General features: G+C 50.4%; 2 protein-coding genes across 16 annotated transcripts in view; one reads left to right on the top strand and one right to left on the bottom strand.

Annotated features, from left to right (window-relative positions):
• On the top strand, nucleotides 849-12,283 carry SFTPB (surfactant protein B). Of its 7 annotated transcripts, none has more exons than NM_198843.3 (12): nucleotides 849-916; nucleotides 1,339-1,473; nucleotides 1,784-1,911; nucleotides 2,413-2,484; nucleotides 2,848-2,973; nucleotides 3,796-3,984; nucleotides 4,212-4,301; nucleotides 5,743-5,926; nucleotides 6,099-6,244; nucleotides 7,481-7,561; nucleotides 8,055-8,136; nucleotides 10,735-12,283. In NM_198843.3, the coding sequence occupies exons 2-11, from the start codon at nucleotides 1,407-1,409 to the stop codon at nucleotides 8,115-8,117; spliced, it is 1,146 nt and encodes a 381-aa protein (NP_942140.3). In that variant the 5' UTR covers nucleotides 849-916; nucleotides 1,339-1,406; the 3' UTR covers nucleotides 8,118-8,136; nucleotides 10,735-12,283. The 7 variants fall into 7 exon arrangements, with proteins under 7 accessions (NP_942140.3, XP_047301370.1, NP_000533.4 ...); XM_047445414.1 differs by having other exon boundaries at nucleotides 9,908-10,867; NM_000542.5 differs by lacking the exon at nucleotides 849-916 and having other exon boundaries at nucleotides 1,391-1,473; nucleotides 9,908-12,276.
• Nucleotides 20,307-26,355, bottom strand: part of USP39 (ubiquitin specific peptidase 39) — a 46,423-nt gene continuing 40,374 nt past the window's right edge. For 5 of the 9 annotated variants that reach the window (NR_046347.2, XM_006711922.3, NM_001256727.2 and 2 more), the window contains 3 exons: nucleotides 24,507-24,642; nucleotides 21,574-21,660; nucleotides 20,307-20,829 (listed from right to left, as the gene is read on the bottom strand). Coding sequence is in view for 8 of the 9 variants with exons in the window: in XM_006711922.3 (XP_006711985.1) it covers nucleotides 20,782-20,829; nucleotides 21,574-21,660; nucleotides 24,507-24,642 (271 nt within the window). In the remaining variant the exon portion in view is untranslated. Of the gene's footprint in view, nucleotides 20,830-21,573; nucleotides 21,661-23,690; nucleotides 23,777-24,506; nucleotides 24,643-26,355 lie in introns of those variants that run through there. The other 4 variants (XM_047442988.1, NM_001256725.2, XM_047442987.1 and 1 more) reach the window with 3 other exon arrangements.

The following is a 26,355-nucleotide window of genomic DNA, read 5'->3' as shown; positions in this document are numbered from 1 at the left end:
ACCTTGTATCTAATTCTTTTTTTTTTTTTTTTTTTGAGACAGAGTGTTACCTGGCCAACATGGTGTCAGGAGACTGCCCATCCCAGGGACCAGGAGCCAGGACACCCTCAGCTCAGTCACATGTTTAATGGCCACATGTTTAATGGCCTCACACTCCCATTCCAGAGTGCAGCGGTGCAATCATGGCTCACTGCAGCCGCGACCTGGTGGGCTCAAGCGATCCTCCTGCCCCAGCTTTCTGAGTAGCTGGGACCAGAGACATGCACCACCACACAAGGTTAATTTTTTAATTTTTTTGTAGTTATGGAGTCTTACTATATTGGCCAGGCTGGTCTCAAACTCCAGGGCTCAAAGGATCCTCCCTCCTCGGCCTCCCAAAGTGCCAGGATTACAGGAGTGAGCCACCACACCCAGCCCCATCTCTTTTCATCATGGTACTAATTCCTGCCCGTCCACCCACAAAAGCACTGTAGTGCTTCCCGAGTATAGAGGCCTGTGAGCCTCCACTAGGGAGAGGGCTCCTGCAGAGATCAGATAAATTGATCACAATGGCTGGGGTGGTGGCAATGTGCTAATGCTCTCTTTCTTCCACTCAAGATATCCTCTGTCTCCCTCAGCCTGTGAGCTTTTTCTCCAGTGTGCTCTGCCAGTGGGGGCCCTGCCTGAGAGCCCCTGCAGCTGCAGAGGACAGTTTCTTTCTGCTGAACCATCGCAGCTATGCCCCAGCCCCTACCCTGGAGGGGTCCCCAGGGGCCATGGGCAGCACCTCCTGTATAGGGCTGTCTGGGAGCCACTCCAGGGCCACAGAAATCTTGTCTCTGACTCAGGGTATTTTGTTTTCTGTTTTGTGTAAATGCTCTTCTGACTAATGCAAACCATGTGTCCATAGAACCAGAAGATTTTTCCAGGGGAAAAGGTAAGGAGGTGGTGAGAGTGTCCTGGGTCTGCCCTTCCAGGGCTTGCCCTGGGTTAAGAGCCAGGCAGGAAGCTCTCAAGAGCATTGCTCAAGAGTAGAGGGGGCCTGGGAGGCCCAGGGAGGGGATGGGAGGGGAACACCCAGGCTGCCCCCAACCAGATGCCCTCCACCCTCCTCAACCTCCCTCCCACGGCCTGGAGAGGTGGGACCAGGTATGGAGGCTTGAGAGCCCCTGGTTGGAGGAAGCCACAAGTCCAGGAACATGGGAGTCTGGGCAGGGGGCAAAGGAGGCAGGAACAGGCCATCAGCCAGGACAGGTGGTAAGGCAGGCAGGAGTGTTCCTGCTGGGAAAAGGTGGGATCAAGCACCTGGAGGGCTCTTCAGAGCAAAGACAAACACTGAGGTCGCTGCCACTCCTACAGAGCCCCCACGCCCCGCCCAGCTATAAGGGGCCATGCACCAAGCAGGGTACCCAGGCTGCAGAGGTGCCATGGCTGAGTCACACCTGCTGCAGTGGCTGCTGCTGCTGCTGCCCACGCTCTGTGGCCCAGGCACTGGTGAGTCTCCCCCAGCCTCCCCTCTCCTAGGCAGCTCCACCACTCACTGAGCACTGCTTTGTGCTAGGCATTAACCCAAGTCTGTCCTCATTTTAAAGACAAGGCAGCTGGGGTTCAGAGAGGGTTCAGAGCTTATCCAAGGTCACACAGCTGGCGGGTCCAGGAGCAGGTGGAACCCAGAGCTGTCTGACGTCCACATGTTTAATGGCCTCACACTCCCAGCAAAACTGGGTCTAGAGGGTGGGTGAAATCATGATGCCAGGTGTGTAGCCTGGATCCTGATTAAGGTTGCTCTGGCCCCAAACCACAGCTGCCTGGACCACCTCATCCTTGGCCTGTGCCCAGGGCCCTGAGTTCTGGTGCCAAAGCCTGGAGCAAGCATTGCAGTGCAGAGCCCTAGGGCATTGCCTACAGGAAGTCTGGGGACATGTGGGAGCCGTGAGTACCACCAAGGATGCATGGCAACTGGGGGTCTGAAATGAAGGGTGCTGGGTGGGCTCTGGATGGGCAGGAGGAGAGTGGAGCCCCCATAGGGGATGGATGAGATGAAATGGGATGAGATGAAATGAGATAGGATAAAATGGAATGGGATGGATGCGATGGGATACGATGACATAGAATAGATGGAGTCGGATGAATGGGATGGGATGGGATGGATGGGAGGGGAAGGGATAGGATAGGATGACATAGAATAAAGATGGATGGGATGGGATGGGATGGGATGGGATGACACAGAATAAAGATGGATGGATTGGGATGGATGAATAGAAGAGATGGATGGGATAAATTGATATGGATGAGATGGGACAAGTTGGGCTGGTGGGCAGCTGCATGTGCCTTGGAGTGCTCTGTTGGCCTCTTCCTAAGAGAACCTCCCCATTGGAGCTGGGAGCCTCCCCCACTCATGTGTCCTCCACCTTGGGGCCCCTCCCTCCCCAGGATGACCTATGCCAAGAGTGTGAGGACATCGTCCACATCCTTAACAAGATGGCCAAGGAGGCCATTTTCCAGGTAATGATGCCCAGATCCTGGATGAAGGTTGGGGCCCAAGAGATGAGGGACAGAGCAGGGAAGAGCTGAGCCCCCTAAAGGGGCCATTTCCAGGCTGAGGAGGAGGCCTGGGTGCCTGGGAAGTCCCAGCTCCTCCTGGCTGGGAGCAGGTCATGGCCCTGAGCTCAATAGCACAGCCAGAGATGGTCTTCCCTGAGGGGAAGGGCCCCTACATGTGCCCAACTACTTAACTCCTTGGCACTCGTGAACTCCAGCACCCTGGGGGATTAGGGGTCAGTCTGCCCTGGTGGGGCCTTGTGTCCAGGGACTTGGGCGGGGTAGACCTCAGAGAGGCCCAGCTGACGGCCCCCTCTGGCCTCCCAGGACACGATGAGGAAGTTCCTGGAGCAGGAGTGCAACGTCCTCCCCTTGAAGCTGCTCATGCCCCAGTGCAACCAAGTGCTTGACGACTACTTCCCCCTGGTCATCGACTACTTCCAGAACCAGACTGTGAGGGCTGCAAGCTCACCTCCTGCCTGCCTCCCCACGCAGGCCCCTGTGCCCACCCATGGGGAGCCACACACACAGCACCCCAGCCAGCCAGACACACACACACACACACACACACACACAGCACCCAAGCCGGCCAGACACAAACACACAGCACCCCAGCCAGCCGGACACACACACACACACACACACAACACCCCAGCTGGCCGGACACACACACACACAGTACCCCAGCTGGCCGGACACACACACACACAGCACCCTATCCAGACACATACACACACACAGTACCCCAGCCAGCTGGAAACACACACACACACAGCACTCCATCCAGACACATACCCACACAGTACCCCAGCCAGCCAGACACACACACACACACACACACACACACACACACAGCACACACACAGCACCCCAGCTGGCCACACACACACACACACACACCCTGTCCACAAAGGGCCTAGGAAACTACGTGCCCTTCAGCCATGCACCCGACCATGGGCCCCCAGGTTCAGGTGCACACGGTGGGCCTGTACGCTCACACACCCTTACACCCTCACTCTCACACACATGCTTACACACTTATTCATTCTCACATATATGCTCATGCTCATTCACACACAATCCCGGCCACCTGCCCTAAAGTCCCCACACAGCCCTATCTTTGCCTTTTGTCCCCCCACATAGAGTTCTAAACCACAGCACCCCCACTAGGCCTGCTTCCTCCCATTCCAGTGGTCCCTGAGCCCTTGGGCCGGCCTGAATAGGGGTGGGCTTCCCTCCCAGACCCTAACACTCCCACCCTGTGCTGTGCCCCAGGACTCAAACGGCATCTGTATGCACCTGGGCCTGTGCAAATCCCGGCAGCCAGAGCCAGAGCAGGAGCCAGGGATGTCAGACCCCCTGCCCAAACCTCTGCGGGACCCTCTGCCAGACCCTCTGCTGGACAAGCTCGTCCTCCCTGTGCTGCCCGGGGCCCTCCAGGCGAGGCCTGGGCCTCACACACAGGTGAGGGAGGCCCCCACAGCCAGTAAAGTGGAGATCCAGAGGGCTAGAGCCACCTCCGAAGCCCATGGGCACTGGGCCCTGGGAGAGGCAGAGCCGGGAAGGTGATAGGAAGCTCCAGGCAGGGCCTAAGGGAGGAGGGAGAGAAAGGGAGGAAGAGAGAGGGGAGGAGAGCCTGGAGGACTCTTCTCCCAGCACCCAGCCTGGCCTCCACCTGATTCTTTCCCCAGGATCTCTCCGAGCAGCAATTCCCCATTCCTCTCCCCTATTGCTGGCTCTGCAGGGCTCTGATCAAGCGGATCCAAGCCATGATTCCCAAGGTGAGGCATCCAGGGCCTCACAGAGCCCAGGAGCACACGCATACCTGTAGCTCCCTGCAGCTCCCACCTCTCTCCCAACTCACACCCCCGTCAGGACCCAGCTGGCTGCCAGAAGTTAGGAGGGGAGAGAGCCGCTTGTGCATTGCCCCCACCCAGGGGACCCTGGGGCTCAGGCTCAGGCCTGGTAGGTGCCAGGCCTACAGTTCATGCAACAAACATTAAGCCCCCACTGTATGGAGGTGCCACGCCAGGAGCCAAAGTACAAAAACGGACAAGACGCAGCTTTGTCCTCCAGCAGCTCACCATCTGATGGAGAAAGATCCCCAGAGGTCTCTGTAGAAAGGTTGCTTTGATCTTTCAAGAGGGGAATTTCCACAGATAGATTCCCCATCCTTGCCTGAGTCCAACTTGGAGTCTTCCAGACCTGCAGTGGCTATTGTCCAATGGCCCCGCCAGCCCAGGGCTACCTTGCCCAAATTGGGGCCCAAATGAGGAAAGGCCCTGCCCCCTCAGCCTTTCCCAGATAGGGTTGCGTGGGCCACCAGGGGCACAAGGCAGCAGGTGAGGTTCCTGCTGAGGCAGGTGGTTCACTTGAGCCCAGGAGTTCAAGACCAGCTTGGGCAACATGGCGAAACCCCGTCTCTACTAAGAATACAAAAATTAGCCAGATGTGACAGGTGCCTGTAGTCCCAGCTACTCGGGAGGCTGAGGCAGGAGAATCACTTGAACCCAGGAGGCGGAGGTTGCAGTGAGCCGACATCACGCCACTGTACTCTAGCCTGGGTGACAGAGCAAGACTCTGTCTCAAAAAAAAAGAAAGAAGGAAAGATCACTGCAGAGATTGCAGTGAGAGGTGATGGGACAGGGACGGAGCTGAGGGCTGGCCTGGGGATGCATTTGGGAGGTGGGCCCACTGCTATTGGGCATGGATGGGCCTGGAGCGTGAGGACCAGGGAGGACTCCAAAGTGACTTTTACACACTGGCCAGAGCAACCAGCCCTCTGTAATGCCAGCAGCTGAGATGGGGAGACTAAAGAAGAAAACAGGTTTGAGCAAAAAAACAGAGAGCTCCCTCCTGGCCATGTTGAGTTCAAGATGCCTGTGTGAAGTGCAGGAGAGGAGAGTCAGGCAAGCAGCTGAATCCCAAGCATTGGGGGAAGGTCAGGTCCACCATGTCAGTCTGAGAGTCACTAGCTGTGGGCCAGAGCCTTTGGGGCCAGACGTAGGTCTGAAGCTGGCTCCTACACTCAGTGACCCTGTGTGAGTCCCCTGCATCCCCTGGACTCTCTGATCCCCAGTGTCCTTATTTGTGAATAGCCTTGCCCTCCCTTCTAGAAGAGAATGAGGGAATGCGTAGGAAGTGCCCAGCTGGGTGCTGGGCAGAGAGTGGAGGCTTGCCAAGTGAAGGTCCCATGCTGGCCTCTCTCCGCCCCCGCCCCAGGGTGCGCTAGCTGTGGCAGTGGCCCAGGTGTGCCGCGTGGTACCTCTGGTGGCGGGCGGCATCTGCCAGTGCCTGGCTGAGCGCTACTCCGTCATCCTGCTCGACACGCTGCTGGGCCGCATGCTGCCCCAGCTGGTCTGCCGCCTCGTCCTCCGGTGCTCCATGGATGACAGCGCTGGCCCAAGTGAGCCCACTGCCCACTCCTTAGCCCAATGCCTGCTCTCCTCCTCCCCCTACCCTGCCACTGCATGACCCTCTCCCTCTGTGGTCCCACTGCAATGCACCAAGGAGGACAGAAACCAAACACCTCTGTAGGGTGGCCTTGCCTGCTTTCCCCCTAATGCTCACATCTCCAGGGTCGCCGACAGGAGAATGGCTGCCGCGAGACTCTGAGTGCCACCTCTGCATGTCCGTGACCACCCAGGCCGGGAACAGCAGCGAGCAGGCCATACCACAGGCAATGCTCCAGGCCTGTGTTGGCTCCTGGCTGGACAGGGAAAAGGTATGGGCTGGGCACATGGGGACTCATGGTCAGGGCCCGTTCAAGGCAGAAGGCTGAGCCCAGGAAAGGCTTTGCAGCCAGAGACACCTAGGATGGGCCAGAATGGAGCACAGACAGGCAGACAGGATGTGGGGCAGACAATGGTGGGACTGTAAGTTAGGGCAGAGCCTGCTAAAGGTTAGGAGTCGCCTCTGGACAAAGGGCTGTGGGCTCCAGAGGACCAGCAGGCCCTCTTCACGGGCTGAGTGAGCACCAGGCAAGCCTTCAGAGGCCTGGTTATCTACCAGGAGATGAGTAATGCTAGGGCCAGTTCAAGCCAGGAAAGGGACTAGCCTTCTCTCCAGGGTCCTGATCCCTTTACTGCCCCCACACTCCTCAAGGTGTGACTCACTCAGGACAAACCCATTGGCAAAAGGAGAGGGCTGGACTTGAAGGTCCTAGGGCCCTTGCCAATACTCAGTCAATGACAGGAAATTCCCTTTTTTTTTTTTTTTTTTTTTTTTTTGAGATGGAGTTTTGCTCTTGTTGCCCAGGCTGGAGTGCAATGGCACAATCTTGGCTCACTGCAACCTCTGCCTCCGGGTTCAGGCGATTCTCCTGCCTCAGCCTCTTGAGTAGCTGGGATTACAGGCATGTGCTACCAGGCCCGGCTAATTTTTGTATTTTTAGTAGAGACAAGGTTTCACCATATTGGTCAGGCTGGTCTCGAACCCCTGACCTGAAGTGATCTGCCCGCCTTGGCCTCCCAAAGTGCTGGGATTACAGGCATAAGCCACTGCACCCGGACAGGAAATTCCCTTCTTAAAGCGAGATCCTGTCCTGAGGAAAGCCAGCTGATGCTCTTCCCAGGAGGCAGCTGTCCACACTGTGCTCCCTGCTCAGCAACTCCCAAGCCTCCCGACTGCCCATCACATCTGGTCTCAAGGACCAGATGAACGTTAAGTTTCCTTCTAGAACTGAAATGGAGGTGGAGGGAGGGGAGGGTGGTGGCTGAGATTCCACCCCTCTGCCTGAGTCCTCCGTCTCCAGTGTCGCCTGCTTTTCTGATGGAAGTCCTCCATTTCAGCTGGCTCCAGTTTGTTAAGGGTTTCAACTGCAGCCAGAGGTGTTCCGTGAGGGCTGATGGAGGAGTCGGGAGGGAGCCCTAGAGTGATCCAGAGATGTGGAGAGGCCAGGACCACACGACAGGAGAGTCCTGCAAAGGGACCCTCCACAGCTGTGTGTCTCCTTCCTCAGTGCAAGCAATTTGTGGAGCAGCACACGCCCCAGCTGCTGACCCTGGTGCCCAGGGGCTGGGATGCCCACACCACCTGCCAGGTACACCCACCCCTCCCAGTTGGTCCTAGGACTTCCCTTGGCTCCCAGAGCCCCCACCCTTTGGGCCCGTGATCCTCAGAGGCCTCACTCCCCTGGGTCCAAGGTGGTCCCAGGTGCACGGGCCAGGGACTGGGAGGCACCCCTCTCTGTTTCAGTGTAAAAAATCATGAGAGCATGGAAAAGGGGGATGGGAAGGGAGGGATGGCCTGAGGAGTGCGGCTGGATGTCCATTATAGGATGGGGCTGTGTTCCCTGGCCAGTGTGTGCTGGTGGGGTGGGGGTACAAAGTGGGTGTTCTGGAGTGAACATCTCACCTCCTCAGGCTCTAAACCCTAAGGCCTGTGGCTCAGGGAGTGGCCCGAGGGGTCTACAGAGTCACACTGGTAGCACCCACTAGGCGGGAGGTGGAGTGAGTGCTGTTCTTTCCCGGAAGAGCTGGGTGTGGGGAGCTGAGGGGGCCCAGGCCTCAGCCCTGGTGCTGTCCCTGTGACAGGCCCTCGGGGTGTGTGGGACCATGTCCAGCCCTCTCCAGTGTATCCACAGCCCCGACCTTTGATGAGAACTCAGCTGTCCAGGTGAGTCCAGGCCCCCAGTTGCGGGGAGGTAAGGGGGCAGGTCCTGACCATCAGGGCATGGGAGGCCCTTCTGCTCCCCAAGCAGGAAGAGGCGGCCACTCCTGCCGGCTGCTCCATCCTCCCTCTCACCGCACAGCTGGAGGCTCCTGAGGGCTTCTGGCTGGCCATCAGGAAAACACCCTTTCCGGACCCCGAGCACTGCCCCGCCCAGAACCCCAGTCACTGAGTGCCCAACCCCCAGCTTCCCCCCCAACCCCCCGCCCTGCCCTGTCCCAGGCCTCCCTCTCAGAGCTTGCCCCAGGGACTCTCTGGCCCTCAGGGTTCAATGTATTCTGACCAAGGCCAAGCTTTCCTGGGGCTCAGGGAAAATCACACTTTGCTACCCGAAGCTGTATCCCCTCAGATGCCAGGAAGGCCGTGATCATCTGACTCCACCCTCCTGAGACACATTCTCTCCCTGACTGTCCTGTTCTAAGTCAGCGGAGCACCTTAGGATGGAGGGGTGGAGGCGAGGCCAGATGCAGCCTCTGTGAACAGGTGCCTGGAGGCTGGGAAATGACCCTGAGAGGGCAGGACACAGCAACCGTGGGCTTAAGGTGACCTTGAGAGCAAGCTTGGCCCACTTTACAATTCTGTTCAGAGCCAGCCCCTAACATGGTGGTCATTTATTCATTTGTTCCCTCATTTTAAAAAATGTAAGGCCAGGCATGGTGGCTCACGCCGGTAATCCCAGCACTTTGGGAGGCCGAGGCAGGCAGATCACCTGAGGTCAGGAGTTCGAGACTAGCCTGGCCAACATGGCGAAACCCTGTCTCTACTAAAAATATTTTTTAAAAATTAGCTGAGCATGGTGGCAGGTGCCTGTAATCCCAGCTACTCAGGACGCTTAGGCAGGAGAATCACTTGAACCTGGGAGGCGAAGGTTGCGGTGTGCCGAGATCGTGCCACTGCACTCTAGCCTAGGCAACAGAGCACAACTCTGTCTCAGGAAAAAAAAAAAAAAAAAAAAGGTATTTCTTTGCTGGGCGCAGTGGCTCACACCTGTAATCCCAGCACTTTGGGAGACCGAGGCGAGTGGATCACTTGAGGTCAGGAGTTCAAGACCAGCCTTACCAACATGATGAAACCCCGTATCTACTAAAAAAAAAAAAAAAAAAAAAAAAAATTAGCCAGATGTGGTGGCACACACCTGTAATCCCAGCTACTTGGGAGGCTGAGGAGGAGAATTGCTTGAACCTGGGAGGCGGAGATTGCAGCGAGCCAAGATTGCGCCTCTGCACTCCAGCCTGGGTGACAGAGTGAGACTCCGTCTCAAAAAAAAAAAAAAAAAAGTAGTGGGTGCCTGTGGCCAGGCCACATCCTAGGGTAGGGGCTATGGCTGAGCCCTGCCCTCCTGGAGCTCACAGCCAAGTCCACTTCTTCCATCTGAGGCGGGGAAGCCAGCCCTGTTCCTGAAACCCTGCATCACAAGCCCCTGTGGGAGGCAGTGGGGAGGGGAGGTCCTCCCCCACTCAGACCTGACCCACAGGGACCAGTTTAATGTGTCCTTGCCCCAGTGATGACAGCTGGGGATCTGGGGGTGGGGAGTCACCCAGGACCCGGGCAGTCGCCTTTCCCCAGCTCCTAGGGCTCCCGGCCTTCCCTGCTGAAACAGCAAGACCAGTGGGTTGGCGTGGGAGGCCTGGGCTTCAAACCACCTCTGCTATCACCTGGCTGTGGGTCCCCAGGCAGGACATACACACAGTCCCTCTCTGGCCCTCATCCTCCTCAGCTGCAAAGGAAAAGCCAAGTGAGACGGGCTCTGGGACCATGGTGACCAGGCTCTTCCCCTGCTCCCTGGCCCTCGCCAGCTGCCAGGCTGAAAAGAAGCCTCAGCTCCCACACCGCCCTCCTCACCGCCCTTCCTCGGCAGTCACTTCCACTGGTGGACCACGGGCCCCCAGCCCTGTGTCGGCCTTGTCTGTCTCAGCTCAACCACAGTCTGACACCAGAGCCCACTTCCATCCTCTCTGGTGTGAGGCACAGCGAGGGCAGCATCTGGAGGAGCTCTGCAGCCTCCACACCTACCACGACCTCCCAGGGCTGGGCTCAGGAAAAACCAGCCACTGCTTTACAGGACAGGGGGTTGAAGCTGAGCCCCGCCTCACACCCACCCCCATGCACTCAAAGATTGGATTTTACAGCTACTTGCAATTCAAAATTCAGAAGAATAAAAAATGGGAACATACAGAACTCTAAAAGATAGACATCAGAAATTGTTAAGTTAAGCTTTTTCAAAAAATCAGCAATTCCCCAGCGTAGTCAAGGGTGGACACTGCACGCTCTGGCATGATGGGATGGCGACCGGGCAAGCTTTCTTCCTCGAGATGCTCTGCTGCTTGAGAGCTATTGCTTTGTTAAGATATAAAAAGGGGTTTCTTTTTGTCTTTCTGTAAGGTGGACTTCCAGCTTTTGATTGAAAGTCCTAGGGTGATTCTATTTCTGCTGTGATTTATCTGCTGAAAGCTCAGCTGGGGTTGTGCAAGCTAGGGACCCATTCCTGTGTAATACAATGTCTGCACCAATGCTAATAAAGTCCTATTCTCTTTTATGAGAAAGAAAAAGACACCGTCCTTTAAAGTGCTGCAGTATGGCCAGACGTGGTGGCTCACACCTGCAATCCCAGCACCTTAGGAGGCCGAGGCAGGAGGATCCTTGAGGTCAGGAGTTCGAGACCAGCCTCGCCAACATGGTGAAACCCCATTTCTACTAAAAATACAAAAAATTAGCCAAGTGTGGTGGCATATGCCTGTAATCCCAACTACTCAGAAGGCCGAGGCAGGAGAATTACTTGAACGCAGGAGAATCACTGCAGCCCAGGAGGCAGAGGTTGCAGTGAGCCGAGATTGCACCACTGCACTCCAGCCTGGGTGACAGAGCAAGACTCCATCTCAGTAAATAAATAAATAAATAAAAAGCGCTGCAGTAGCTGTGGCCTCACCCTGAAGTCAGCGGGCCCAGGCCTACCTCACTCTCTCCCTTGGCAGAGAAGCAGACGTCCATAGCTCCTCTCCCTCACAAGCGCTCCCAGCCTGCCCTCCAGCTGCTGCTCTCCCCTCCCAGTCTCTACTCACTGGGATGAGGTTAGGTCATGAGGACACCAAAAACCTAAAAATAAACAAAAAGCCAAACAAGCCTTAGCTTTTCTTAAAGACTGAAATGCCTGGAAGTGTCCCTTTATTTATAAAATAACTTTTGTCATATTTCTTATACATGTTTCTTGTAAGAAATTCAGAAACTACAGACAAAGAGAGTGGAAATTACCCACTGTCAGGCCTCTGAGCCCAAGCTAAGCCATCATATCCCCTGTGCCCTGCACGTATACACCCAGATGGCCTGAAGCAACTGAAGATCCACAAAAGAAGTGAAAATAGCCAGTTCCTGCCTTAACTGATGACATTCCACCATTGTGATTTGTTCCTGCCCCACCCTAACTGATCAATTGACCTTGTGACAATACACCTTCCCCACCCTTGAGAAGGTGCTTTGTAATATTCTCCCCACCCACCCCACGCCCGCACCCCCGCACCCTTAAGAAGGTATTTTGTAATATTCTCTCCGCCATTGAGAATGTGCTTTGTAAGATCCACCCCCTGCCCACAAAAAATTGCTCCTAACTCCACCGCCTATCCCAAACCTACAAGAACTAATGATAATCCCACCACCCTTTGCTGACTCTTTTTGGACTCAGCCCACCTGCACCCAGGTGATTAAAAAGCTTTATTGTTCACACAAAGCCTGTTTGGTAGTCTCTTCACAGGGAAGCATGTGACACCCACAATCCCACCTAGCCCAGGAGAGAGCTACGGCAGGGTGTGTGTTTTGACACTGAGCTTGGGGCTTTTTCCATCTTCTCCCCACAGCCTCTGGCTCCACACCTCCACCGTTCAAGCGCCAGAAAGAGCTGTCTATGCAGCCTGCTCTTGGGCCTGGGGATGAGACACACAATTCATTGGCTCCTGGATTTTAAGTAGACATTTGTAAATCTATAGCTAACTACTGTCCTTAAAGCCATTGTTTCCATTACAAAATCCAACTCTCTGAGAGAAAAGGGTGTTTTAAATTTAAAAAAATAAAAACAAAAAAGTTTGATTGAGACAATGAAGAGCCAATGTTTGAAGAACTGGAGGCATTAATAGTTTATCCCAAAAATATGAGTGGGAATGAGTGCCTGATAATGAAAAAGGCGGCTTCATTCAAAAGGAGGTCAAGAATTGGCAGACTTTGGGAGGCTGAGGTGAGTGAATCACTTGAGCCCAGGAGTTCAAGACCAGACTGGGCAACGTGGCAAAACACCATCTCTATAAAAAATATAAAAATTTGGCTGGGCATGGTGGCTCACACCTGTAATCCTAGCACTTTTGGAGGCTGAGGTGGGTGGATCACTTGAGGTTAGGAGTTCCAGACCAGCCTAACATGGTGAAACCACATATCTACTAAAAAAAATACAAAATTAGCTGGATGTGGTAGTGCATGCCTGTTATCCCAGCTACTTGGAAGGCTGAGACAGGAGAATTGCTTGAACCCAGGAGGCAGAGGCTGCAGTGAGCCAGGATTGCGCCACTGCACTCCAGCCTGGGCAACAAGAGCAAAACTCTGTCTAAAAGAAAAAAAAAAAAGATACAAACATTAGCTGGCCATGGTGGTGTGTGTCTGTGGTCCCAGCTATTCAGGAGGCTGAGGTGGGAGGATCGCCTGAATCCAGGTCAAGGCTGCAGTGAGCCGTGATGATGCCACTGCACTCCACCCTGGGTGACACAGAGAGATCCTATTTCAAAAACAAATAAATAAATAATTTTAAAAAAGAGTTGACTAGCTGGTAGGAGGACAGAATTGGCAGGAAGTGGCTACACTTGAGACTCCTAGGGTCCCTGAGAAGTGTCCAACATCCTGCACCTCTGCCCTTAGGAAGTTGGGGGAAGAGAAGTCCCAGGAGGGATTATAGCCCAAGAGGAGGGGACTTATTCTTCACTTTCCAGGGTGTGGGCTTCTAAGAGAAGCCTGCCTCTCACAGGACATCAGAAAGGGTGAGGACGCTAGCCTGAGGGATGGAGCTAGGCAGCTGGCCTGAGGTCTGCCTCACAGAGTGTTCCCAGTGTGATGTGGTTGCAGAAGAGCAACCTCAACCCACAGACCGAGAGGCAGTCAGAATTGGCTCTGGACAAGATGGTGCACCCGTAAGAGCCCACGGTTGGGGATGAATCTGTGACAGATTTAGTGGATCTTGAGATGAGCAGAAATCAGATGTGTAGCAGTGATGGCACAAGAAGATGATGATCAGGCAAGACGAGAGACACTCCAGAGAGACCTGGATGGCCAGGGAATGCTTAGTCCCCAGTGCCTCTCCTCACCGCAGGGCAATCTGTAAATCATTCCCAGGGAAAGGGGAAAGAGGATTCAGTGGTTAGTCAGCCAAGAGAGGCTGAGTATTAAGAAGGGAATGAGTTACTCCGAAATGGAAATAATATGTTTTGAGGGCTCATGAGCCAAAATGAGTTCAGTTATAGAGAAATAAAGATAATTACATTATGTCCCCCTAATGAATAACTGAAATTTTAAATCCACGACATAATCATTATTAACATGTTATTATCTATAATTCCAAAGCTTTCTGTGCACATATACAAAAACAGATACAGCAGATCTACAAAATGGAAACATCCTATACATGCTGCTTTGTAACCTGCACTGTTCATTTAACAATAACCTTTTCAGGTCAATAAATGTAAGTATCTACTATTATTGCTAATTGCCACATGACAGCTCTGTCTCCCAGGCTAGAGTGCAGTGGTGCGATCACTCTGGGGTTTAAGCAATCCTCCTGCCTCTGCCTCCCTAAGTGCTGGGACTACAGGCGTCAGATACCATGGCTGGCCCTTACTTTTTTTTTTTTTTTTTTTTGAGACAAGAGTCTCACTCTGTCATCCAGGCTGGATTGCAGTGGCGTGATCTCAGCTCACTGCAAGCTCCGCATCCCAGGTTCATGCCATTCTCCTGCCTCAGCCTCCTGAGTAGCTGGGACTACAGGAGCCCGCCACCACGCCCAGCTAATTTTTTTTTTTTTTTTTTTTTGTATTTTTACTAGACACGGGGTTTCACTGTGTTAGCCAAGATGGTCTTGATCTCCTGAACTCGTGATCCACCCGCCTCAGCCTCCCAAAGTGCTGGGATTACAGGCGTGAGCCACCGCGCACGGCCGGCCCTTTCTTTTTTAAGCAACTATTATCAACGATTTGCAAAAAATAAAAATCCTCGCACTTACATCTTTGTTTGTCTGTCTTCTTAGAATCAATTCCAAGACATGAAATTTGGGGGACACCTTTACTTTTAACAGAGGCTGGATTATCAATCTGGGCCTCTGTGCCAGCCGTACCAACTTCTATCCCAAAAGAAAACAAGTGCCTCTTTCCACTCTCACCAAACTGGGGTATTAACAATCTTTCAAACTTTGCTAATCCAAAAATATATATATATATTTATATATACAGGCTGGAGGGCAGTGGCACAATCTCGGCTCACTGCAGCCTCTGCCTCCCAGGTTCAAGCAATTCTCTTGCCTCAGCCTCCGGAGTAGCTGAGATTACAGGAACGTGCTACCATGCCTGGCTAATTTTTGCATTTTTAGTAGAGACGGGGTTTCACCATGTTGTCCAGGCTGGCCTCAAACTCCTGACCTCAGATGATCCACCAGTCTTGGCCTCCCAAAGTGCTGGGATTACAGGTGTGAGCCACTGCATCTGGCCTATCCAAAATATTTGTTTTGTTTTGTTTTGGTTTGGTTTGGTTCCTTTTTTTTTTTTCTGCTAATCCAAAATATTTTTAAATGATGTCTCATGGTCGTTCTAATTTGCATTTCTTTAGTTACCAAATAAACACCTTTTCACATGTTTATTGGCCATTTATATTTCATCTTTTGTGAAATGCCTACTTGGGTTTTTTGCCCAATTTTCTGTTTAGGTTTCTTTTTCTTATTGTTTTACGAGTAAAAATAAACTAGGTATATTCATTTATTTACTGTCCTATACATTGCAAATTTTTCTCTATCATATATCTGGAGTATTTTTTCCACATCTATCTTTTTCTCGTGATTTCTGGCTGTGGGGTCATGCTAAGAAAACATGAATTGAATTTCACTTCTTCCCCATGTGTGGTTCAAACTCTGGCCAGACCTTGAGGTCTCCAAAAGAGGAAGGGCATGCTGGGATCAGCTTTGAAGACATGCAGGCCAGGCCCCCAACCCAGACAGCCGTGGTGGAAGCAAGCCATGTGTCACCCACAAAGGACCTCAAGATCACACAGGATATGACGGTCAGCTCCAAGAAATAGTCCCTAAACTTTTAAGTGATAATTCCTATTTTCACCATCTTGGAAGGGTATAAAGAGACAAAATCATTTGTGCAAAAGGACAACACAGAGAACACAGGCTAAGTACTAAAGCATTTACTCAAAAAATATGGGTGATTGGCCGGGCACGGTGGCTCATGCCTGTAATCCCAGCACTTTGGGAGGCCGAGGCGGGCAGAACACCTGAGGTCTAGAGTTCAAGACCAGCCTGACCAACATGGAGAAACCCCGTCTCTACTAAAAATACAAAATTAGCCGGACGTGGTGGCGCATGCCTGTAATCCCAGCTACCCAGGAAGCTGAGGCAGAATTGCTTGAACCCAGGAGGCAGGGGTTGCGGTGAGCTGAGATCATGCCATTGCACTCCAGCCTGGGCAATAAGAGCAAAACTCCGTCCGTCTCAAAAAAATAAATAAATAAATAAATGGGTGATTGACTTCTAAGTGCCAAGCATTTCCCAAGGGCTGGGCACAAAAGTTTCTATCTATCCTTTGGAACTTGAGAGTTTAGTTGGAAAAATAGGCCTTAATCAAAGAATCACAGAAAAAACAAATTTTTCAGGTGCAATAAGGGCTATCAATTAGAGATACACAGGGTATTAAGGGTATGAGAGGTCATGGAGGAGAAAGAATTAAAAGGGAAAGAACGAGCATCCCTCACAGAGGAAGCAGATAGTACAGAGGCCTCATGTCATGTGGTACATCTGAGCAATAGAATGAAGCTCAGCGAGCCTAGGCTCAAGAACAAGCAGGGGCCAGGCGTGGTGGCTCATGCCTGTAATCCCAGTACTTTAGGAGGCCGAGGCGGGCAGATCACTTGAGCTCAGAAGTTTGAGGCCAGCCTGGGCAACATGGTGAAACACCACCACTACAAAAAAAATCAAAACAATTAGCCCAGTGTAGTGGTGCAAGCCTGTGGGCCCAGCTACTCAGGAGGCTGAGGTGGGAGGATGGCTTGAGCCCAGGAGGCGGAGATTGCAGTGAGCCAAGATCATGCCACTACACTCCAGCCTGGGCGACAGTGCCAGACCCTGTCTCAAAAAAAAAAAAAAAAAAAAAAAAAAAAAAGTAGAAACTTCCTGATAAATTAGGCTAGCAGCTGAGGATTTCACTTGCTATCCTAAGAGCCAGTGAAGTGTCTTTAAGCATGAGATCAGAGTATGGGGGAGAAATGACTCAGGTTTGTGTTTTAAAAGATTACTCTGACTAAAGCATGGATAAACTGGGGGTAGGAGGCAAAGAAATGTGGAGAGACCTATTGAGAGCACTGCAAACAGAAACTGGCAATAGCTTAAACTAAAATGATAGTGGCAAAGGGCCAGTACAGAAGTCTGATGGATCTTGGAGAACGACCGTGGACTATCGTAAACTTAATCAGAGTGACTCCAGCTGAAGCTGCTGTCCCAGATGTATCTTTTTTTTTTTTTTTTTTTGAGACTGTCTTGCTCTGTCACCCAGAGCTCAAACTCAGCTCACTGCAGCCTTGACTCAAGTGATCCTCCTGCCTCCCATGTAGCTGGGACCACAGGTGCATGCCACCACTCCTGGCTAATTTTTTTTTTTTGAGGGATGGGGTCTCACTTTGTTGCCCAGGCTGGTCTTGAACTCCTGGGCTCAAGCAATCCTCCTGCCTTGGCTTCCCAAACTGCTGGGATTACATCTGTAAGCTACCACGCCTGGGGCCAGATGTAGCATCTTTACTCATACACAACAGCTCTTGGCACTTGGTATGGAGCTACCAAGTTAGAATCAAATTGGTATTTCTCCATACCAATTTATAAGGATCACCAGAAGTAGTTTGCTTTTACCTGGCAGGGCCAACAGTATACCTTCACAGTGTTACCTCAGGACTATGTCAGTTCTGCTCTCTAGCATAATACAGTTCACAGAGATCTTGATCATCTTGACAATCCACAAAATATCACACTAGTCCACTACAGTGATGACACTATGCTGTTGGATCTGATGAGCAGAAAGTACCAAGCGCTTTAGATGCCTTAGTAAGACATAAATAAGAAGTTGGGAGTTAAACCCAAAAACAAGTCAGGGAACCAGGCACGGTGGCTCACGCCTGTAATCCCAGCACTTTGGGAGGCCAAGGCGGGCGGATCACGAGGTCAGGAGATTGAGACCATCCTGGATAACACGGTGAACCCCCGTCTCTACTAAAAATACAAAAAAATAGCCAGGCGTGGTAGCAGGCGCCTGTAGTCCCAGCTACTCAGGAGGCTGAGGCAGGAGAATGGCGTGAACCCGGGAGGTGGAGCTTGCAGTGAGCCGAGATCGCACCACTGCACTCCAGCCTGGGCGACAGAGCGAGACTCCGTTCTCAGAAAAAAACAAAACAAACAAACAAACAAACAATTCAGGGGCCTGCCACCTCAGAGACATTTCTCGGAAGTCAACAGTATAGAGTTATGTCAAAATATCCTCTCCAAGACAGGTGGCTGTACCTCATACCACCACACACACACACACGCACGCACGCACGCACAATGTTTGATAGGTTTTTCTTGGCTTTTGGAGACCACATATACATTTGAGCAGCACAGGCACCCAGTAGCTCCACCTGGCACTCTCCTCCCTGGACAGTTTTATAGCAGAGGCCTCCAGGGAGACACCTGTGAATGGCTTTCCTGAGTACACTACAAAGCAGATTTTTAACGAGGTTCAGAGGGCATATTTTTAGCAAGGTCTGGATCTCAGCTTTGGACACTGTCAGCCCCAGAACTAGTGGCAGCTCTTTGTATCTGTTATTCCTACATTCTTTACTTTACTTGTTACTAACTAATCCCGTTTCTACAAACCCGTTGTAGTTAATAATTATTGAAATTAAACTTTCCCTGAACAGATTATTATACATGAATTTCTCTAACTGGATAGTGTAATCTTCACCTCAAAAATAGCCAAGTTTGAAAGAGAAACTCATGGCAGGGCACAGTGGCTCATGCCTGTAATCCCAACACTTTGGGAGGCCAAGGTCAGCAGATCACCTGAGGTCAGGAGTTCAAGACCAGCCTGACCAACATGGTGAAACCCCATCTCTACTAAAAATACAAAAATTAGCCGGGTGTGGGGCGCACACCTGTAGTCCCACCTACTCGGAAGGCTGTGGCAGGAGAATCACTCGAGCCTGAGAGGCAGAGGTCGGCAGTGAGCTGAGATCACACCACTGCACTCCAGCCTGGACAAGAGTGAGACTCCATCTCAAAAAAAAAAAAAGGGAAACTCACAAGCTCAATTTTTTTTCTTTTTTGTAATGACAAGGTCTTGCTCTGTTGCCCAGGCTGGAGTGCAGTGGTGCAATCATGGTTCACTGCAGCCTCAAATCCTGCGCTCAAAGGACCTTCCTGCCTCAGCCTCCCAGATAGGTGGAACTACAGGCACACACCACCATGCCCGGCTAATAGGGTCTTGCTATGTTGGCCAGGCTGGTCTTGAACTCCTGGCCACAAACAATTCTTCCACCTCAGCCTCCCGAAGTGTTAGGATTACAGGCAGGAGCCACCACACCTGGCAAGCTCAGTTCTAAACAATGTTAAGTTTGAGTTTACTTTAAAACACCCAAAAATAGGGCTGGGCACCATGGCTCACGCCTGTAATCCCAACACTTTGGGAGGCCGAGGCGGGTGGATCACTTGAGGTCAGGAGTTCGAGACCAGCCTGGCCAACATGATGAAACCCCGTCTCTACTAAAAATACAAAAATTAGCTGGGCACGGTGGTGGTCGCCTATAATCCCAGCTATTCAGGAGGCTGAGGCAGGAGAATCACTTGAACCCAGGAGGCAGAGGTTGCAGTGAGCTGAGATCATGCCACTGCACTCTAGCCTGGGCGACAGAGCAAGACTCCATCTCTAAAATAAAAATTAAAATTAAAAAATAAAATAAAATAAATAAAATAAAATAAAATAAAAAAATTAGCCGGAAATCACTTGACCCTGGGAGGTGGAGGTTGCAGTGAGCCAAGATTGTGCCACTGCATTCCAGCCTGGGCAACAGAGCGAAGTTCAAGAGTTTAGAAAAATCTGGGATTAAGATGTGTTTATGAGTCATTTCCATAAAAATGCATAGCTGAAATGGCCTAGGGAAAAAGTAAACAGCAAGAAGAGTGACGCTAGGACTGAATCTTGAGAAAACCCAAATTTAATGGCTGGATAGAAGAGATAAGCCTCCTAAGGAAATACTGGAGCTTCCAGAGAGGTAGAGGAAAGTGAGGACAAGGTTGTGACCAGGTAAAGGGTGGCACCACAGGAGTGCGGGGCTCCTGTCTCCATTCAACAGAACTTGCTGGGGCTGACTGGCTGCCTCCAGCTGCTTCCCATATCTTTGGACCTGCCACAGTGCTCATGCCAAGGCCACCCTTCTTCTAGGCTGCTAGAGCCCACGACTGAGCTTGATGGGAGCCATTTCTGCTGAATTGTCTGACGGAATCTTTGCCCTGGGGCTCCACACTGGACTGGCTGAGACCACCTCAGAATTGCACTGTAGTGAGAAGCGCTTCCTATTTCCTTTTTTTCCTCTTCCCTTACTCATTCCTGCACTGCAGCTGGAAACTGCCCACCTCTGGCCCTCTAGTTAAGCACAATAATAATGTATCCCCTTGACTCAGGTATTTTTTTACTTAGAAACAAATGCATCCTAACTGACACACCACCCACAAGCTGACAGGAAAGGGCGAGCGTGATGTGCACCAGATGTCAGACTGTAGGGTAGAGAGTTTGTGAAGATTAAAAAGGAAAATATTTTCCTCAGCCAACCACCAAAGGAAAAGATATAAAACAAGAGGCTGGTTTAAAAACAGGAGACTATTTAATCCATCTAAAAATACAAATCAGGAAATGGGGGGAACCATAGGAAAATCCTCCACCTCTAACAGAGCGAAGTTACTGGCTTTCTGCTTGCTCCAAGAATCCCAAGGCTTGATGTTTGGAAGGAATTATCTGTTCTTCAACTACTCCCAGATACTCAAGACATAAGTTACACACATCTGGAGAAGGGTTCTGCCCTGCTGAAGCTAGATGGGAGCTCAATGCATGGGAGAAAGGAGCATCAATCTAGAAAAAAATGATCAAAGAACAGCTGAGTGACAGTGTGGGGCCATCCCAGGCAAGTGGGCTCTTGGTGCTCTGGTGTAGCCAGAACCCATACAAGCTGGGCTGGCCTAGGAAGCCCACCAGCCAGCCTGTGTTCAGCTACAGCTTCTGTGTTCTTATTTACCATCATCAGCCACAGCCCTTGGGAGCAAAGCCCTAGACGCCTCCTTCAAGCCCCCTGCTGGTTGGTTTCATCATTATCTCGCCTCTTCCAAATCTGTAAGAAATGAAAACACAAACTGAAGTCTAGGAGGCATTCAGTCAACAGACACTTATCAAATACCTATTCTGTGCCAGGCCATGGACAACTTGTCACCCCATTTACAAATCTGCTATACCCCATTTGGAAATCTGCTACAGTGGCTACAGCCACTGAGGAGAAAAAAGTTATCTCTAGAAGGAGAGGTATCACTTTCTTCTTACAAAGCTATGGCTTTTGTCTCAATCTTCCTTCTTTTGCCAGGTACTAGGGCAGTTACATAAAGAGAAGACAGAGATGCTCTGTGCTCCATGGGTCAATCCAATGGAGAGGACAGACAGGCAAAGCGATATGGCCGGCACTAAAACAAACGTCAAGTAGAAAGCGCTGTGGGGTCACAAAGCTGCCTGGGGCTCTGGGGAGCACTTCGTGGTCGACTTCTAGCCAGCCTCCCTGATGAGTCTAGGTTCTTCCTCCTCGAAACCAGACCGCACACTTCTGCAAAACTAACCTGGCCATAATCGCAACTTTCTTTGCTCACTCATACATTTTCTACACTTCCTTATACTTCTTTTCTGAAAATCTCTGCTTGACTTTCAGGGCCATACATTCTGCCCCCAACTCACTACTAAGTACTTCCCAATAGGTACCTGGCCCTCCAACCAAGGTCCTAACTCTATCCCTCTTCCTGCCTTGGCCCACTCCTCTCACTGGCCCCATACGCCACCTATTTGTGGCTCACTAAGCCTGTGGCCAACCCACCTGAATGTAAGCCTCTGACAGTGTGATCATCTGGGGAAGGATGTCAGTCACCTGGAGGTCTTGTAATTCATACCATTTGCCTGTCCCCTGCAGAAAGTATGAAGAGCTGGGTTAGTCTGCTCTCTAAAACCAAAAGGGTGTAGAAGGAAAGGATCATAGCCAAGACTAGAAAAATTAGAAGAACAGCCACTAGACATCATCCAGCAACAGTCATAAAGAAGAGGGTACATGACTTCTTCTGGCCATGATTCAATTAATAGGACTTTTGGTGTGTCAATCATGGCAAACTCAATTCCTGTTGGGAATTTTTTTAAAGCACTGTTTTTTGTTTGTTGTTTTTTTGTTTTTTTTTTTTTTTGAGACAGGGTCTCACTCTGTCACCCAGGCTGGACTACAGTGGTGTAATCACAGCTCACTGCAGCCTTGACCCTCTGGATTCAAGCGATCCTCCCCTCAGCCTCCCAGGTAGCTGGAACTACAGGTGTGTGCCACTAAAACTGGCTAATTTTTTTTTTAATAGCAATGGGGTCCCACTGTGTTGCCCAGGCTAACTCCTGGTCTCAAAAGATCCTCCCGCCTCAGCCTCCTAAAGTGCTAGGATTATGGGTATGAGCCACTGCGCCTGGCCCCTTGAAGTACAATGGAGTCTGAAACACTTCTGTACATCTTTTTAAAAGGAATTTAGTGGACACTAAAGATGAGAAAAGAGGAAGCCATCTAATCATCACCTATGATGTCTCCTTCCTGCTCAGAAATGACAGACTAGACATTCTCACTTATGAGGTACACAGTGTCAACCACTGAGAGAACCTAAATATGGACATTCCTGGCTGGGCACAGGGGCTTACGCCTGTAATCCCAGCATTTTGGGAGGCCGAGGTGGGCAGATCACTTGAGGTAAGGAGTTTGAGACCAGCCTGGCCAACACAGTAAAACCCCGTCTCTACCAAAAATACAAAAATTAGCCAGGCCTGGTGGCAGGTGCCTGTAGGTCCCAGCTACTTGGGAGGCTGAGGCAGGAGAATCACTTGAACCCAGGAGGTGGAGGTTGCAGTGAGCCAAGATCATGCCACTGCATTCCATCCTGGGTGATAGGGTGAGACTCTGTCTTAAAAAAAAAAAAAAAAAAAAAAGCAACAGGTCATCAAGAAAAGGTGTCCTTGGTGGACACTGTCTATCACACTAACCTGATTCCTTTGGCCTAAGAAACCAGTGCTACAAATACAGCAAAACGTATCTCACTTCATGCTTCCATGAACAAGGAAAAAATGTTTCTAGATTAAGGCAGAGGCACCTCTGGCCGCCCACCTGTCTTATCCAACCAAAGTTCTAAGAAATACCAAAGACCATTATTGTAGAATATAAATATTCCAGATCCTCTGGATATTACAATAGTTGAGAATATAGGAAACATAAGGAAAGCTCAGGATCACATAAGTAAGTTCCCATTCCTGCTTCAAGGACGAGTTAAGAACATGGGCTTTGAAGCAGAGTACCTGGGTCAAATCCTAATTCTACTGACTTGAGGTCAATTACTGAAACTCTGAGCCTAGGTCTCCTCCTCTGTAAAAAAGATGATACTGACATCTGTCTTGGAGGTGTGTTTTAATGAAAGAAATGAGATTAATGTACATTAAGTAACTGGCGTACTGCCTAACCACAATAAAGCACTTGATAAACAGAAGCTAGTTAAGATTAAACCCACAGTTCCAGAAGAGGCTAATCAAATGAGAACAATTTATGCTAATAATCTATGTGATATCAAATATATCTCAAGTACATGTTTTATCTGTTTTCAACTTGAGACAAATCCACAACATTTTTAAGATGAAAGGGAGCCTCTAAACCAGTGCTTCGCAAACTTTAATTTCTTACAAATCAGAGGGTCACGTTAAAATCCAGGTTCTGATGTGGTAGGTTTGAGGGGACTGAGAGTCTGCATTTCTAACAAGCTGATTTCTAACAAGACTGATGCTGATGTTATTGGTCCAAGGATGCATCCCACTTTGGATGGTAAGGCTCTAGTCTAGGGCAGAGGTTCTCAACCTTGGCTGCATATCAGGGTCTCTCAGGGAACTTCAAAACATCAAATGCCAGCCAGGCATGGTGGCTCATACCTGTAATCCCAGCAGTTTCAGAAGCTGAGGCGGGAGGATTGCTTGAGACCAGCATGAGCATCATAGCACAACCCCATCTCAATTAACTTGAAAAATAGAAAAGACATCAAACAGAAAAGACATCCACCTCCAGACAATCTAACAGAGAGCCTTTAACCTTAATGCTGACTGATGTTTAGGGTCAGATAATTCTTTGTAACACGGGCTGTCCTTCGTGTTGTAAAATATATACCAACATCCCTGGCCTCTGCCCCAGCTGAAAACTACTATTATAACCGGCCTGGTGTGGTGCCAGGCATTGGGATTTTAAAAAGCTCCCGGTTGGCGCGGTGGCTCACGCCTGTAATCCCAACACTTTGGGAGGCCGAGGTGGGTGGATCACAAGGTCAGGAGTTCAAGACTGGCCTGGCCAAGATCGTAAAACCCCGTCTCTACTAAAAATACAAAAATTAGCCGGGCGTGGTGATGGGCGCCTGTAATCCCATAATCCCAGCTATTCGGGAGGCTGAGGCAGAGAACTGCTTGAACCCAGGAGGCGGAGGTTGCAGTGAGCCAAGATCACGCCACTGCACTCCAGCCTGGGCTACAGAGCGAGACCCTGTCTCAAAAAAAAAAAAAAAAAGCTCCCAAGGTGAGTCCAATGTGTAGCCAAAATTGAGAACCACTGCCTTAAACTAACTACTGACAGCACTATTACTTGCAGAGTCCCAAAGCCAAGGCCAAGCAAGGACACACTGAAGGGAGCTGCCCTCTGAGATGCCAAAGAAACACCTGTTTTTGCCACTCTGTGCCATGAGACGGTCAGCAGCCACTCACATGATGAAGCACGTGGATCCGGTAGGAGCCCTCGGAGGGCTTGCCGTCATGCACGATGTTGGCAATGAGGTCATAGGTGGTATTCTTGTGTACTGCTTGTACTTCTTCAGACAAGTATTCTCTCAGATCCACATTTCTGTTAATGGTTAAAATAAAGCCGGAATAATCAGACAAAGGCTGTGAGGTTAAGGAAACTGTCCTACACAAACGGACCACAAAATTGTTCAGCCCTATTTTAGGACCCTTTCTCTGGGTAGGCTTGCAGAGTCAAGAAGGTCCAGGTGCGTTGGAATTCACAAAATATGCCAAAATGAATGACAGGGTTACACAGCTTCCCATATGATTTAAAAAAAAAAAAAAGAATGACAGGCAGTGGCTCATACCTATAATCCCAACACTTTGAGAGGTCAAGGTAGGAGGACTGCTTGAGCCCAGGAGTTCAAGGCCAGCCTGGGCAATGTAGTGAGACCCCTACAAAAAAAAAATTAGCCAGGCATGGTGGTACATGCATGTGGTCCTAGCTACTCAGGAGGCTGAGGTGAGAGGATCACTTGAGCCCAGGAGATTACGGCTAAAGTGAGCCAGGACCACACTATTGCACTCCAGCCTGGGCGACAGTGAGACCCTGTCTCAAAAAACCCCCAAAAGGAAGAAGAACTTTCAAATAGTTAAAAAGGAAAATATATAGACAGTTAACAAGAATATTAAGATTAAATACATAATTTTAGGAAAAATATATCATTTTGGAGTCTACAAATATTTATAAAAACTTACACAATACAAGGTAAAATAAAAAAAAAGACATTGCATCATAAAAGTTGTCTGATGTGCTACCACTCATTACATGAAACAAAACCATGTTATCACTGGAAGAGTTCACAAGAAACAGCTAATGGTGGTCACGTCCAGTTATATATCTCCCTTTGAAGTTAGACTGTGAACATATTAACTGTTCAAAATTACAGAGTTTAAAATGTAAACCATGTGGTAATAAACAAACATACAACTTTGTTGTAATTATTATATGTAGCTTTCTATGTATTGGTGACAGCTATTTGTTTCTACAGACTGACAGTGTCCCATATATGATGCAGTCAGACTGCAATAAATATTCACTGTTAAGAAAATGGAAGCCAGGTGCGGTGGCTCATGCCTGTAATCCCAACACTTTGGGAGGCCGAGGCGGGCAGACTGCCTGAGCTCAGGAGTTCGAAACCAGCCTGGGTAACATCGTGAAACCCTGCCTTTACTAAAGTACAAAAAAAAAAATTAGCTGGGCGTGGCGGCGTGCACCTGTAGTCCCACCTATTCCGGAGGCTGAGGCAGGAGAATTGCTTGAACCCAGGAGGCGAAGGTTGCAGTGAGCCGAGATAACGCCACCGCACTCCAGCCTGGGCAACAGAGCGAGACTCCATCTCCAAAAAAAAAAAAAAAAGGAGATATGAGTCCTGAGTCCATGTGAGCTCTAGTCAGCCAACCTGCCTTCCTGCTACTAAAGGCTGACTTCTCATTTTATTTTCTCTTCAGCCTGAACAAAAGCTGACTAGACTTGTCTGAATGAGTATCAGTGAAGAAGTCTTTTTTTTTTTTGAGACAGAGTCTCGCTCTGTCGCCCAGACTGGAGTGCAATGGCGCTAGCTATCTCAATTCACTGCAAGCTCTGCTTCCTGGGTTCACGCCATTCTCCTGTCTCAGCCTCCCGAGTAGCTGGGACTACAGGCGCCCACCACCATGCCTGGCTAATTTTTTGAATTTTTAGTAGAGACGGGGTTTCACCGTGTTAGCCAGGATGGTCTCGATCTCCTGACCTCGTGATCCGCCCGCCTTGGCCTCCCAAAGGGCTGGGATT

The sequence above is a fragment of the Homo sapiens genome, chromosome 2 (genome assembly GCF_000001405.40).
Source record: "Homo sapiens chromosome 2, GRCh38.p14 Primary Assembly".
Taxonomy (NCBI): Eukaryota; Metazoa; Chordata; class Mammalia; order Primates; family Hominidae; genus Homo; species Homo sapiens.
This window is presented reverse-complemented; position numbering and strand designations above follow the sequence as displayed.